The following is a 16420-nucleotide window of genomic DNA, read 5'->3' on the forward strand; positions in this document are numbered from 1 at the left end:
TCAGTACTTCATTCCTGTATTGGTCAGTGTTCTCCAGAAAAACAGAAGCAATTGGTCAGTGTTCTCCAGAAAAACAGTGCGTGTGTGTGTGTGTGTATGTGTGTTTGTGTGTGTATACAGACAGATATATGTAGATATAAATATCTACATCGGTCTATCAATCATCTCTCTATCTATATAGAGAGATTTATTTTAAAGAATTGGCTCATGCAATTATGGAGACTAGCAGGATGGGCTGACAGACTGGAGACCCAGGTAGAGCTGATATTGTAGTAAAAATATGAAGACTGGCAGATTATCCTTGTGTTGAGGGAAGCTCATTGTCTTGTGCTGCTTATGCCTTCAACTGATTGGATGAAGCTTACCCACATTATGGAGGGCACTCTGCTTTATGCAAAGTCTACCCATTTAAATATTTGACCAAGTATCTGGGCATGATTGCCCAGCCAAGTTGATACATAAAATTAACCATCATAATTCCTTTTTATGGATGAGGAATATTTCATTGTATGGATATACCACATTTTGGTTGTCCATTCAGCATTTGATGAGCATTTAGATTGTTTCCACTTTTGGCTATTCTGAACAAGGCTGCTATGAACATTTGGGTCAAAGCTTTTGTACTCGTTTCTATGTCTGTTTCAAAACCATGATTGAAGACCTTGATGCCTAGGTTATATAAATCTTCTGTTTTAAGACCCAGGCTGTAAATTTACTCCTGAATTCTAGACCAAGAAAAAGTAGACCTTTCCAGATACTATTACATTTTAATTTGGCAGGCAAACATAAGTATAATAGAAATCCTTTTTGCAAGTAAAATGTTTTTTCACGAATTCCCCTACCTGTATTGAGTTAAAATAATTTTATTATATTTACAATATACAAACTTAAAACTACATAGAAATTTCTTAATCTTATTATGTTTCTTAATATTATGAAATCCATATCAGTTCAAAAATCAAAACAAAGGATAAAATAGAATTTTAAAAATTAGGGATATTAATTCAATGTGATAGATTATTTTACTAAAATCACCATTGATATGGTTTGGCTCTGTGTCCCTACCCAAATGTCATCTTGAATTGTAATCCCCATGTATTGAGGGAGGGAGGTGATTGGATCATAGGAGCGGTTTTCCCCTTGCTGTTCTCATGATAGTGAGTTCTCATGAGATCTGATTGTTTTATAAGTGTTTGACAGTTCCTTCTTCACATGCTCTCACTCTTGCCTGCCACCATGTAAGACATGCCTGCTTCCCCTTCTGCCATGATTGTAAGTTTCCTGAGGTCTCCCCGGCGATGCAGAACTGTGAGTCAATTAAATTTATTTCTGTTATAAATTACCCAGTCTCAGATATTTCTTTCTTTTTTTTTTTTTTTGAGATGGAGTTCCGCTCTTGTTGCCCAGGTTGGAGTGCAATGGCACAATCTCGGCTCACTGCAACCTCCACCTCCCAGGTTCAAGCGATTCTCCTGCTTCAGCCTCTTGAGTTGCTGGGATTACAGGCGTGTGCCACCATGCCCGGCTAGTTTTTTTATTTTTAGTAGAGATGGGGTTTCACCATGTTGGCCAGGCTGGTCGTGAACTCCTGACCTCAGGTGATCCACCCTCCTCGGCCTCCTAAAGTGCTGGGATTACAGGCGTGAGACAACATGCCCAGCTGGGTATTTCTTTATAGCATGGACTATATACTATCCATTAATGGACTAATACATCCATTAATAAGAATGTGTGGTACCAACTGCTCATGATGCAAGTTCTTTTGAGTTTGGCATGTTTAAAGTTTATTATCTTTTGAGTTTGGCATGTTTAAAGTTTATTATCTTTTGAGTTTGGCATGTTTAAAGTTTGTTTTCCCTAAGGGTATAGGAGTTATTGTACCATGTGTTTTATTTTAATACTGCAGATACTTTATTTGTACCTATGCCATGACATAGTTTGGCTTTCACTTTGCATGAACACATTATTTATGTATTAACTCTGCCTTTACCATTTTCTTATTAGCCCAGGATAACTACTAATTGGCACAAACATAGCCTTATACACAAATGCAAATGCCAAGTACTGAAATCATGGGGCAGAATGGCAGAAGATGAAGAAAGTGCTTTGTGTAATTTATATCATGCTAGGTGCTTTATGGCCTGCATCAGTTATCATTAGTTTCAGCTCAATATATTGAAACACCCCATGATATCAGTGGCTTAGAGAGGAGAGGCATTTATTCCCTTCTCACTGGAAAGAAGCACCTGGTGACCTCAGTTTTCAACCTTCTGCTTCAGTATCCTAGCAATAGCTTTAGTCCTCAATGCCATCTTTTAGGCCAAGCTAGCTGCTGGGGCTCCAGCTTCACTCTAGTCATCAGGAAGGAGGGACAGTGGAAGGACACCCTGTGTGCTGCTTTCCAGGAATGATACAACACTTCTTATGTCTCCATTGGCCAGAACTTAGTAACTTAGTCCCTGGACCTCATTTAAGTGAAGTCGGTCTGAGAAATGGGTCTTTATTCTGTACAGTAAGAAATAAAGTAAGAATAGCTATTTGGTGGAGAGCCATCAGCTATCAGCCTATATCATGTGGCCCAACCTTAGTAAGGAGCTATGGCCGAAGATCAGCAGTCAGACAACCAAAAACTAGTGGAAAGCTCATTATCTTCATTGCACTCTTTCAAGGAAACACCAAAAGGGATTAACATTCTTCAGCCACCTGTGAAGTTCTCTCCCACTTTCTAACTCTCTTTATATCTCCCACACAAGACAGCCTCTCCCCACATTCCTTCCCCACTCCAGAACTTTCTCCAACCCAACGAGTATAGCCTTTCTTAATTTTTTTCCCCTGAGCTCCCATCTCATACTCAGCTCCGATGATGTAGATCCATTGGATTTCTGGGACTGCTTTGAGCTTTTCCCACTTCTGAACGTATACAGCAAGCAGATCTCCAGCAAGAGGCATGCTCCTGGGGGTCAGATGGTGAAGGAGTGGAGGGGTGTGTCCTTATTAGGAGCTGAGAAAGGTGTGTTGGTTAATGGCTACAACATTACAGCTGGATAGGAGGAATAGGTTTTAGTGTTCTATAACACTGTAGGATGACTATAGTTAACAATACTTTATTGTATATCTTCGAATAGCTAGAAAAGAGGATTTTGAATGTTTCCAACACAAAGAAATGGTAAATGTTTGAGGCGATGGATAATGCTAATTGCCCTGATTTCGACACGTGCTCTTACGGTAGGGAAGGAGGGGAAGTGAGCCCAGACTGCAAATCTGAACATTCATCTTTGATTTCTGCTACATTCCTGCTTAGTTACACCTTTTTCTTTCATTTTTAGTTTCACATAACAACTGTACATATTTTTGGGATACAGAGTGATATTTTGATGCATGTATACAATGGATAATGAACAAATCAAGGTAATTAGTGTATCCATCACCTCAAATATTTTATCATTTATTTTAGTTGGAAACATTCAAAATCTTCTCTTCTAGCTATTTGAAAACGTACAATAAATTGTTGTTAACTAGAATCACCCTATAGTGCTTTAGAACGCTAAAACTTATTCCTTCTATCCAGCTGTAATTCTGTATCCATTAACCAACCTTTTCCTGTGCCCTGCCCCCACCCTTCCCAGCCTCTAATAACCACAATTCTACTCTCTGCATCTATGCACTCAACTTTTTTAGCTTTTACATATGAGTGAGAATATGTGGTATTTATCTTTCTGTACCTGGCTTATTTCACTTTACATAATGTCCTCTAGACTCATCCATGTTGCTGTGAATGACAGGATTTCATGCTTTATTATGGTAGAATAGTATTGATACATGGATTGAGGATGCCTCAAGCCTGTGTTTGCCTCAGCTCTAGTCAATGATTGGAGCATTGCCTATCCCAAATGGGAAATGTCGCAAAGGGGATATTCTGGCAGTGTGGGAGGCTAGCAAGGGTTCATGCCCAGGAGATGTATGGAACATACCTCCTACAGTGTGGTCCTGCTGAACAGATGCCATTCTGATTTGGCATTTCCTTCAGTCAGGTTAAAGAGCTGTCTCCCCTGTTTGTCTCTGGCTGTCCTCTGATATATTTTTCCCTTCAGGCACTCAAAGTAGCTGCTTTCTGTGGGTTGAGGCAGAAACTGTCCTCTTACCAGGGAACTTAAGATGTTGGGGAAGTTGGTTGTTCACCTTGATCTTACTTTTTCCATTGTAGAAACCATGAGTCTGGGGAGGTTTTCTGCACTTGTGGTGCTGGGAAGGTTGAGGGGAGGGGCATTGTGGCTATGGAAGTCTGATTTTCTTACTCTCTGTTTAGAGTTTTTTCACTTCTCTCTGGCTCCAGGAACTGTCTCATCTTTATATTTGAGTTCTGGGCTATTGCTGGTGATAATCTTGGTGCTGTGTATTTGTTTTTGTTTTTGTATATCTTGGGGTTCCGGGGGACAGTGCCACCAGCTTGCTTCTATGCCGCCATTTTTTTTTTTTTTTTTGAGACAGAGTCTTACTCTGTTGTCCAGGCTGGAGTGCAATGGCGTGATCTCAGCTCACTGCAACCTCTGCCTCCCGGGTTCAAGCAATTCTTCTTACTCAGCCACCCAAGTAGCTGGGATTACAGGTACGTGCCATTACGCCTGGCTAACTTTTGTATTTTTAGTAGAGACGGGGTTTCAGCATTTTGGCCAGCATGGTCTCGAACTCCTGACTTCAGGTGATCCACCCACCTGTGCTGCCCAAGCTGTTGGGATTACAGGCGTGAGCCACTGCACCTGGCCTATGCCACCATTTTGAAAACAAAAACCTTTTTATCATTTTGATGTAGGCATTATTGCTATAAACTTTTCTCTTAGTACTGCTTTTGCTGTATTTCACGGGTTTTAATATGTTGTGCTTCTATTTTCATTTGTTTCAAGAATTTTTTGGATTTTCTTCTTAATTTCTTCCTTGACTCCATTTGTCATTCAGGTGCATGTTGTTTAATTTCCATGTATTTGTAGAATTTCCAAAGTTTCTCTTGTGATTGATTTCTAATTTTAGTCCACTGTGGTCTAAAAAGATACTTGGTATGATTTCTATTTTAAAAAATTCGTTGAGACTTGTTTTGTGTCTAACGTATGGTTTATCATGGAGAATATTCCATGTGCTGATGAGAAGAGCATGTATTCTGCAGTAGTTGAATGAAATATTCTGTAAATGTTAATTAGGTCAAATTGTTCCATAGTATAGTTTATGTCCAAGAATTCTTTGTTGATTTTTCTGTCTACAGGATCTGTGCAATACTGAGTGTGAGGTGTTGAAGTCCTCAACTATTATTATAATGGAATTTATCTCTCTTGTTATCTCTAACAATATTTGCTTTATGTATCTGGGTGTGTTGGATACATATATATTTACAATTGTTATATCCTCTTATTGAATTGTTCTTTTCATCATTATATAATCACCTTTTTCATCTTTTTCTTACTTAAAATTTAGCTTGTTTTCTAAGTATAGCTAGTTCTGCTTGATTTTGGCTTTTGTTTGCTGAAATTATCTTTTTCTATCTGTTCACATTCAGTCTATGTGTCTTTACAGGTGAAGTTGATTTCTTATAGGCAGCATATAGTTGAGTTTTTAAAAAAAATCCATTTAGCCACTAATTGGAGAGCTTAGACCATTTACATTCAATGTTATTACTGATAAGTAAGATCTTGTTATTGCCATTTTGTTGTTTGTTTGTGGTGGCATCAGTAGAGCAGGCATTTGAGACAGAAAAATATCCCCTACTAAGTGTGGGTCTACGGGGGTTGACCTTGGAGAGAAATGTATTTTCAGTCTATATTTTTTAATTGAGGAATTTAAACTATTTACATTCAAGGTTGTTATTCATAAGTGAGGACTTACTCCTTTCATTTTGGTAATTGTTTTCTGGTTTTTAATATATCATTTGTTCCTTTTTTCCTCTCTTATTGTTTATCTTCGCAGTTTGCAGTTTGGTGATTTTTGTAGTGATAACATTTGATTCCTTTCTCTTTCCCATTTGTGTATCTGCTTTAATAGTGAGTTTTAACTTTCATGTGTTTTCATTCTGGTAAATATCTTTTTGCTTCTAGATGTAGGACTCAAACATTTCTTCTTGCGCTTGTCTAAGGGTGTTGAGTTCCCTCAGTTTTTGCTTGTCTGGGAAAAAGAATAACTTTGTTGGCTGTGTATTGTTGATAGGCATTTTTTTTTTCCCTTTTAGCACTTTGAATCCCATTCTCTCCTAACCTGTAAGGTTTCTCTTGAGAAATCCACTGTTAATCTGATGGAAGTTCACTTATATGTGACTTTATGCTTTTCTTTTGCTGTTTTTAGAATTCTCTTTTTGTCTTTGACTTTTGACTTTTAGACTATAATGTGCCTGAGAGAGGTTTTTTGGGTTGAAACTGTTTGGGGATCTTTGAGCTTCCTGTCTCTGTCTGTCTATATCTCTCACAAGACTTGGGACATTTTCAACTAGTATTTCATTGAATAGGATTTTAATGTGTTTTCCATCCCTTTTCCTTCTGTAACTTCCAGTAATGCAAATATTTGTTCACTTAATGGTGTACCTATGCCACATAGACTTTCTTCATTATTTTTTCTTTTTTGGACTGGGTTATTTCAAGAGACCTGTTTTCAGGTTTAGAAATTATTTCTTCTGCATGATCTAGTCTATTGTTGAAGCTCTCAATAATGTTTTTAATTTTATTAATTGAATTCTTCAGTTCCAAGACTTAACCTTGGTTCTTTTTCTTATATTTATTTCTTTGCTGACTTTCTTATTCAGATCATGATTTTTTCTTATTTCATTGAATTATCTCTTTTATTTCATTGAGTTTCCTTAAGATCATGATTTGAATTCTTTGTCAAGCATTTCATAGAGGTCCTTTTCTTTGGGATTTGTTACTGAAGTTTTATTGTGTTCCTGTGGAGGTGTACTTGCTTTTTTCATGTGTCTTGTGTCCCTACATTTGTATCTGTACATCTGTTGAAACAAACACTTCTTCCAATTTTATGAAACCGCTTTTGTAGGGAAAGACTTTTTCCTGTAGATATGGCCTATATTGTTGATTGGGTAGGGTGTTTTGGCTTTGGTTCTGGGAGGGTACCGTTGTGTAGTCTCTGTATGATTTCTTTAGCTGTAATCAATGTTAGCAGTATCTGTGAGTACTTCAGTGGCCTAGGGTGTGGTGTTTTGTGGAGGCTGTGGTGTGGCTTTGCTGGGGATGGAGATGCATGGCAGGCTGTTCCTTGGGCCTCTGGTGACACATGCAGAGATGAGGTGGTCCCACCACTGGAAGTGGGGTCAGACTGCCAGTGGTCATGGCAGAAGGCCATGAGTAGGTGGCTGTCAGGCTCTGGGGAGCATGCACTTTCAGTCTCAGGAAGTGAGTTTGCCTCAGCATAAATTTCCTCTCTGGAATAATGAGGTCACATGGACTCCAGGCAGCTCATTATACTGCGCTTGTGTCCTGTAAGGGCTGTGGTCTCCTGTAGCTAACTTTATAGGTGTCCATGATATGACTGTGGACTGTTAGGGATCTCCCACTTACCTTTTTCCTTCAGTGGGAAGTCTCTCTTTGCTCCAAGCTGATCCTGGCTGACTGCTTTGCTTTCCTTTCTATGCTGCCTTCCTGAGTTTTTGCATCTCAGAAGGTCTTTGTCACTTCCTTGCTGAATTCCAGTGTTCCTCCCTAGACACTGTTTGATGTGTGGTTATTTGTTGTTTTGGTCCTTCTTTGGGGTAGAGATGAGTGTTGGTTGCCTTTAGTTAGCCATCTTGATGATGTTTGCTACTTAGTTAAGTTTTTGTGTCCTTTTCAAAGAGGGACACAGCATCTATTCGGGCCATCAAAAGAATCTCCCACTTTGCTGTCCTATCCCATTCAGAGAGCCTGAGTTCACTTCCTGGCTCCTACTGGGTGGTGTTTTCAATGCAGCTTCCTGAAACCTTCCAGCTGGAGAATTTAGATCCTCTCAGGGAGCCAACACACCAAAATTTAAATTTGATCATCTTCCCTTTCTGGGTCTTTGGCCCTTATAACATGAGAGAATTGTTCACCAGATTTTAAAATTCTTTTCTTTAAGGAAGCAGACAGTAGATACAGTGTTTATGACAGCAAAGCACACTTGGAACCTTCTCTGCCCTTGCTAGAGTCTGAGTGGCACATCAATCTTGTTTATGACCAGTTCTGTCCCACTGGAAGAAAATTAGGGGCACAGTCTCTCGCTGAACTCTGAGCTGGGTCTGAGGAGTTCCCTTAGGAAGATTAAGAAACCGACTTAGTCCCATTCCACTCTCAGGAATCTGTTGCTGGGTTTGAGGCTTTCTTCACCACTATTGGCTCCCTGTTCTGCCCTGGTGGCTTGGCTCGGAGCTCCATTACTTGTTCTTGCTTCCTGGGAACAAAGATTGAGGCAGCCCTGAGGATTCTGATAAAGTCTCATATTTTTTAGAGATTCTTGGCAACAAATTCTTCTCATTAGGACTTGATTCATGAGCTTCTAGACCTCCAAGCTGTGTTCCATCACCTTTGGTAGATAGCCCACTGTAAATGTTTTCCCAATCTGAACAGACAGGCTGAATGTATCTGTTCTTTTATAAATACAAGGTTTAAAATTCAACATACCAATCCCAGCAATTTACCATTTGCCACATATTTTCTTTGTAGCAGTGAGATAGTTTGTAAGTGAAAGGAATCTCTTTGTTTTAAAGGGAGATCACTTTGTTTTAAACATTGATATTTACTTAATCAATGTAATGTCCCCATTTTATAAAATGTTTAATGGTCTACAGAATATATTATTTTGAGCAATATGCTTATGTAACTTATAATTATGTATACATATATATCAAAAAAATTCTACTAGTATGATCCATGATCAATACTTCCCTTTCCCAACTTCTTGTTTTGAAAATATTTAATTGTTTTGAAAAATGTCTAAGCTGTAGAAAATGGCAGGAATAGTATAATGGATACTCTTTTACCCTTCACACAGATTGTTAATATTTTACTGATTACTATATTTTGCCTGGAGAGAGAGAGATGTTTTATTTTTGCCAAAGCATGTGAGAGTAAGTAGCAAACATCATGACACTTCACCCCTCAAATATTTTCCCACGTATCACTTAAGAACAAGGGCATTCATTCTGTTACATGACCACAATACAATCAGCACAGATAGATATTAACATTGAGACAATGCTCTGATGTATTGGTATCTACTATGCAGTTCATAATCAAATAAGGGTTTTGGTAACTTGGGATCCATAAATGGTCTGCAAGGTCAGCCCCTGTAGACCTGCACTTAGTGGGTGCCATTTCCCTGTCTCAGGTGCCTGCTCTACTGGTGATATTTTTCACTGGCTCTGTTGCTCACTTAGAATTTTTTCTCCCAGCTGTTGACATTTTATTTTCTGCATAGTTCTGAAGCTGCAGCAGTTGTTCTTATGCCTTCTTGATTGTAAATTTCATAGAAGCTGTCAATTTCTAAGGGATTTCATCTCCTTTGATGCAGCCAGGTCAATAGCTACAAACCTATCTGAGAATGTCTGCCATCGGCCTCCTCTCTGTCTAGAAAGGTGTCTTAGTCTCTCAGCACTTTGGGAGGTTGAGGTGGGCGGATCACAAGGTGAGAAGATCAAGAACATCTTGGCCAACATGGTGAAACCCCGTCTCTACTAAAAATACAAAAATTAGCCAGGAGTGGTGGCGTGCGCCTGCAGTCCAGCTACTCTGGAGGCTGAGGCAGGGGAATCGCTTGAACCCGGGAGGCGGAGGTTGCAGTGAGCCGAGATTGTGCCACTTCACTCCAGTCTGGGTGACAAGAGCAGAACCCCATCTGAAAAAAAAAAAGAAAGAAAGTTATCTTAGTCTATTAAGGCTGCCATAACAAAATACCATAAACGGGATGGCTTATAAGCAACAGAAATTTCTTACAGTTCTAGAGGCTGGGAAGTTAAAAATCAAGGTGCCAGCAGATTTGATGTCTGGTGAGAGCATGCTTCCTTGTTCATAGATGATGCCTTCTTGCTGTGTCTTCACATGGTAGAAGGGGTGAGGCAGCTCTCTGGGGCCTCTTCTATAAGAGCACTAATCCCATTCAAGATGGCTCTGCCTTCATAACCTAAGCAACTTCCAGAGGTCCCACTTCTTAATATCATCATTGTGGAGGTTAGAATTTCAACATATGAATTTAGGAGGACACAAACATTCAGACTGTAGCAAAAGAAGTTTTGTGCCTTAAGAAGTTCTATGGGTTATAGTAGGTAAAAACTGTTTTTGTTTTTGTTTTTTTGCGACGGAGTCTCACTCTTGTCACCCAGGCTGGAGTGAATGGTGTGGTCTCTGCTCACTGCAACTTCCACCTCCTGGGTTCAAGTGATTCTCCTGCCTCAGCCTCCTGAGTAGCCGGGAGTACAGGCCCCCGCCACCACAACCAGCTAATTTTTGCATTTTTAATAGAGATGGGGTTTCACTATCTTGGCCAGGCTGGTCTCGAACTCCTGACCTCGTGATCCACCCGCCTTGTTCTCCCAAAGTGCTGGGATTACAGGTATGAGCCACTGCGCCTGGCCAAAACTGGTTTCTAGTTTATGAGTTCAGCAGATATTTGACTCTGGATTCCTCAATTTAGTGATATCACACAAAATGGTATAAATAAATCTGATTTTTTCCATCTGGACATCTATATCCCAAGCAGTCACATCTCCTCTAGATCATGTCCTAATCTTAGAACAGTTGCTCCCATTCCTCAGACTTTCTAGTGGGATAGTGAGAGCCTTCAGAGTGTAGAACAGGCTCACTTGTGCCATTATTCAGATGCTCAGCCACAGTGAAGATGCACTCTATGCCCAACCGTAGGGAGAGATTTCAATCTCTGACAGTAGTCTCCACATGTCATCAACGTAAGTCATAGTCATCTCAAAGCCCTTCAGCAATACATAATCAGGAATCGAGCAACTAAATAACAGTTGTTTGTTTTATTATCATCAGTAAAAAAATACAAAGAAATTCATTCATTGGGGCAGCAACATTCTCATTCCCCTTTCTCTCTCATTACATTGCTGCACAACACCAATGCCTTCTCACAGTTCCCTCTTGCATGATTCTAGGTTTCGTCAGGAAGGCTTTCCTGCAGCCTAGTTAGCATAGACTTCATTTTTCTCCCCACTTCTCTCTCAGCTGTTTACCGTGTAGGTCAGTTTAGCCTCCCTGGCTTGCTTCCTTCCTGACAATCTCCCCCTTTACCCAAATTCTACCCTAGAAGCAATTAGATAAAAATAGATGCATCAAGAAAACATCTTTTCTTCTTAGGAAAGAAGGGATGGGAGGGAAGGAAGAAAACAGCAAATACTTATTATTTGGTGTCTTTTATTCTGTTACTTTCTTACTTGTTTTTTTTTAATGATCTAACCACAAAACGAAAACACAAAATAATGCTTTTTCTTTGAGAATATACCTGAACAGTTTACCTCAATTGTCAGGAAGCGCAAGACTAAATTCAGAGCTGTACTGGTCTTTGTTTGCTTTGTTTGCTCTTTGTCTATTCATTCCTTACTGATATGTTTATTTATTTATTTCAGGTTAATTTATTTTGATCCTTTTAAAGAGCTTCCTTGTAAATGCACTTTCAAATAAGAGTTTTATTAAGATACAGTTGATATACCATAAAATTCACTTTTTAAAAGTGTACAATTTAGGCTGGGTGCACTGTATTCCCAACAGTTTGGGAGGCTGAGGCGAGAGGATCACTTGAGGCCAGGGGTCCAAGACCAGCCTGGCCAGCATGGCAATACCATATCTCTACTAAAAATACAAAAATTAGCGGGCATGGTGGCGCACACCTGTAATCCCAGCTACTGGGGAAGCTGAGGCACAAGAATTGCTCGAAACCAGAAAGCAGAGGTTGCGGTGAGCTGAGATTGTGCCACTGCACTCCAGCCTGGGTGACAGAGCAAGACCCTGTCTCAAAAAAAGTGTACAATTTAGTGATTTTTAGTATATGCACATATATAGCAAATGGCACCACTATCATATTTCAAAACATTTTCATCCCCTCCAAGAGAAACCCTGTACCCATAAGTGGTTGCTCCCCATTCTGTCCTCCTACTAGCCCCTGGCCTTTTCTGGATCTTTCATATAAATGGGATAATAGAATATGTGTTTTTTTGCAATTGGCTTCTTTCCCTTAGCATGATGTTTTCAAGGTTTACCTATGTGGTAGCATGTCCCAGTACTCTATTCTTTTTTACTGCTGAATGATATTCCATTGTATGGCTATACCACATTTTGTTTTTCCATTTGCCAGCTGATGGCATTTGGGTTGTTTCTACTTTTTGGTGATTACGAATAATGCTTCTATGAACATTTGTGTACAGTTTCTGTGTGGGCATAAGTTTTCAGTTCTCTTGCCCATACGCCTAGGAATGGAATTGCTGGGTCATGTGGTAATTCTATGTTTAATATTTTAAAAACTGGCAAACTATTTTCCACAGTAGCCACATCATTTTACATACCTACCAGTAGTGTATGAGAGTTCTAGCTTCCTCACATCCTTGCTAACACTTGTGATTGTCTGTCTTTTTTATTTTAGCCATCCTTTGATATTTTTAATGATCAGTGAAAACAATTTGTGTCTGTGTGAAGTTGCTTCAAATTCTTTTTTTTATTGTGGTAAAATAAAAATAACATAATATATATCATTTTACCCATTATTAAGTGTACAATTCCATGGTGTTAAGTACATTCACAGTGTTGTGCAACCATTATCACTATCCACATCTAGAATTTTTCTATCATCTCAGACTGAAACTTTGTGCCCATCAGACAATAGCTCTCATTTCTCCTCTTCCCCAGCCCCTGGTGACTTCTATCTTACATACAATTCCTATGAATTAGCCTATTCTACGTACTTCATATAAGTGGAATTATAAAATATTAGTCCTTTTGTGTCTGGCTTATTTTACTTAGGATGTTTTCAAGGCTCATCCATGTTGTAGTTGTAGTATGTGTCAGAATTTCATTCATTTTTTTTTTCTTGAGACTGAGTCTCGCTCTGTTGCCCAGGCTGGAGTGCAATGGCGCAATCTTGACTCACTGCAACCTCTGCCTCCTGGGTTCAAGCAATTCTCCTGCCTCAGCCTCCCGAGTAGCTGGGATTACAGGTGCCTGCCACCATGGCTGGCTAACTTTTGTATTTTTTTTTTTTTTTTTGTTAGTAGAGATGGTGTTTCACCATGTTGGCCAGGCTGATCTCGAACTCCTGACCTCAGGTGATCTGGCCGGCTGGGATAATAGGCATGAGCCACCACATCTGGCCTTAAATTCTTTTTGTAAGTAACTCTGGCCTAATCTTAAGTAATAAGCTAATACGGAGAATGTGCCTCACCCTCCAGCATACTGTGTGTTTTGGCTTTAAGATCTTGGGACAGCTTCTCAGAGGAAGACACCACTCCTCCCCACAGTTGCAGCTGTTCACCTCCCAGACTCACTGGTAAAGTTAGAAGACGCTTCTGAAAAACTGCCCATCTATATTTTCCTCACAGCAGTTGTGAAGACTTGCTGAGGTGGATTTAAGGTGGGGCTCTCATGGGATACAGCATTAGAAGAGGGGACATTTTGCTCTTCCTAATGTTTATATACCAGCAATGTCCCATTGGTCAGGGCAGAAAGTTGAAGGTGCTTTTGCTTATGGACCTCATAGAGTGTGTGTGCACATACCAGCAGGCTTAATTTTAAAATCTGACCCCAGAATTATGCTGTCTACAGTTTTATCTCATTGATTTTTCAAATAAGGGTACTCTAATGTGTTGTTTTTAGCTGTAACTGTCTTAAGACATGTTTGTCCAGCACATATGCTTAGCAAAATCTCTAACTGTTTGGGATGAACTCCATTCTTTATTCATAAAAAGGGTATGAAGTGAATTCCATTGACTTCTGATTTGTCATGTTTATACAGTTTTCCTAACTAAATACAAAAGGAGTTATCAGCATTCTCTTGACTTTCTAGATTAAAACTTTGGAACAGACTAAAGCCATTGAAGATCTAAACAAATCCAGAGACCAACTGGAGAAGATGAAGGAGAAAGCTGAGAAAAAGCTCATGTCTGTCAAGTCAGAACTGGATACCACAGAACATGAGGCTAAGGAGAATAAAGAAAGGGCCAGAAACATGATAGAAGTGGTAACCAGTGAAATGAAGACACTAAAAAAATCTCTGGAAGAAGCAGAAAAGAGAGAAAAGCAGGTGGGTCTAAATCTGGTGATGAAACCTTGTTTAGGAAATGACAGGACAATTCAAGAGCTTGATATTAATACTTATTCATGCATTTCTTTTTAAAAAAGTTTGGACTGTTTCATGAATTTGTATGTCATCGTTTTACGAGGGCCGTGCTAATTTTCTCTGTATCGTTCCAATGTTAACACATGTGCTCCCGAAGCGAGAACTAGTCACATATTTATTCAAAAGCAATTTACAAAGCTTTCTATATCTTTTCAACATATCCACCTGCCCCTCCAGCATCTTTTTGGCATTCAAGTAACCACTATGATTTACCCCGCTAAGAAAAATTATTCACATTTCCATGGCACAAATTGTAGGAAAGGAAAAGACATTCTTATTCAAGCAGCGGAAGGGTTTTGGTGAAAAAACAGGTTCTGGTTCTGGGGAGGTTTTTGTTATGTTAGGTGATCGCCTCTGAAGTTTGCATCATCATAGAGCTCTTAACGTTAACCAGGGCTTTGGCCTCAGGAGGGAAGCCTTATCTGTAGCAGAGATCAGTTGCAGGAAACAGCCCCAAATCTCAAACAGTGGCACCCAGACTTGATGGCCGACCAGGCACAGATGTAAGCCATAAAAAAGTACTCATTTGCTTGCTGGCTACAAGAAGGAGCATTTTATCTAGTGAGTCCATCAGGAGGTCAGGCGTAAAGAAACATGTACCGGGCAGCTTGACCTCCATTGCTTTTGGCTTTTGTCTCTTTCTCCTTTTGAAGCTCAAAAGGGCATAGAGTGGACTCTGATCCTAGGATTTTTTTTTCCCTGCTTTGGCTGCCTCTGTTTTGGTTCATGTGTCAAGCAGAGACGGGGAAAGCCAAACGACACAATGAGCGTTCTCAGAAAGGAAACTTCTTCGGAATGAAAAGCTTTGGCCACATTGGAAAGGGTAGAAGTCTGAGAGAAACTTTTTCATCAGGGAGACTAGGTCGGTGTCTTAGTCCTTTCAGGCTGCTGTAACAAAGTACCATCTACTGGGTGGCTTATAAATAATAGAAATCTCTTTCTCACAGTTCTGGAGGCTGAGAAGTCCAAGATCAAAGTGTCTGGTGAGCACAGCACAGCTTCCTGGTTCAGAGTCAGCCCCTTCTTGCTGTGTCCTCACATGGTGGAAGGAGCAAGGCAGCTCTCCGGGGCCTCTTTTATAAGGGCACTAATCTTATTCATGAGGGCTCCACCCTCATGATCTAATCACCCACCAAAGGCCCCACCTCCTAATAGCTTCACATTGGTCATTAGATTTCAACATAAGAATTTTGAGGGGTCATAAAATTCAAACTGTAATAGCTAAAAACCATTCCCAAATTGGACTCTGCAAGGGAAGCGGGTTGCAGAGCAAATGAGCCTGGGGTGGGACTGTTTGGGTGGCATTCTCTTGGATGTAACTGTATTCAGTTTGGATCATCCCTTTTCTAAAATGGAGGGTGCCTTTAATGAGGTGTTGGCCAGATGCCCTGATTTATCTGCTTTTGCATTAACCTAGAACCACAGAAACCAGCCTATGAGAATTTGAAGGGATATGAGGCATATTTCAACCATTGTCCCCAGCCCCTACTTTTCTTTCTTCAATGGACAAATAGAAGTCCCAGAGCAGTCCCATGGAATATGGCTTGTGAAATGGCAATCTGTGTGACATGACTTGATAGTAATTTAGAAGTCCTCCTGTTTTCATTAGCTTATACTTTCTTGCTGTTTGTTCTTTTTTTTTTTTTTTTTTTTTTTTTTTTTTTTTTTTTTTTTTTTTAGTGTAAGAGGTTATCAGCCAGCTAAAATCCCAAAGCATGTTTACCATCCATGGGCACAACCCCACCAACATTTGTTTAGTTCTTCCTAGTATGCAGAGCACACACACAGTCACCATTTCATGTGATCTGAATTTCAGGGCAGCCCTTCGACGTAGGTGTATGGTTAATCCCAACCTGGAGATGAGAAAATGAAGGCTTAGTGAGGTCTGGGTCTCATTCATGGTTACTTAACTTGGATTCTTGACTTAGTAGCCAATACCACATCAGTTGGCTCATCAGAAAAGTGATTGTGAAATCTCTGAAGGTTGGCAGTTGATGTGACTTATCTGGAATCTGGTATTTTATAAGTGAGAGAACTAGGAAGAGAGTAGATAATTTCCCTACCTCATGCAAACCTGGGTTTT

The 16420-nt window shown here is 39.8% G+C and overlaps 1 protein-coding gene, 1 long non-coding RNA gene and 1 pseudogene across 5 annotated transcripts in view; 1 reads left to right on the forward strand and 2 right to left on the reverse strand.

The window, feature by feature from the left end:
* The window catches only part of CCDC170 (coiled-coil domain containing 170), a 127177-nt gene that overhangs the window by 107422 nt on the left and 3335 nt on the right, over nt 1-16420 (forward strand). For all 4 annotated transcript variants that reach the window (NM_025059.4, XM_047419372.1, XM_011536148.3 and 1 more), the window contains one exon: nt 14005-14241. In NM_025059.4, the coding sequence (NP_079335.2) occupies nt 14005-14241 (237 nt within the window). The remainder of the gene's footprint in view (nt 1-14004; nt 14242-16420) is intronic.
* Nucleotides 9019-15387, reverse strand: LOC107986528 (uncharacterized). Its single transcript, XR_001743865.2, has 2 exons — nt 15283-15387; nt 9019-9834 (listed from the first exon to the last, which is right to left on the reverse strand). It is a non-coding gene; the product is annotated as an uncharacterized LOC107986528 (long non-coding RNA).
* On the reverse strand, nt 14335-14441 carry RNU6-813P (RNA, U6 small nuclear 813, pseudogene; annotated as a pseudogene).

This window comes from Homo sapiens, chromosome 6 (genome assembly GCF_000001405.40).
Source record: "Homo sapiens chromosome 6, GRCh38.p14 Primary Assembly".
Taxonomy (NCBI): Eukaryota; Metazoa; Chordata; class Mammalia; order Primates; family Hominidae; genus Homo; species Homo sapiens.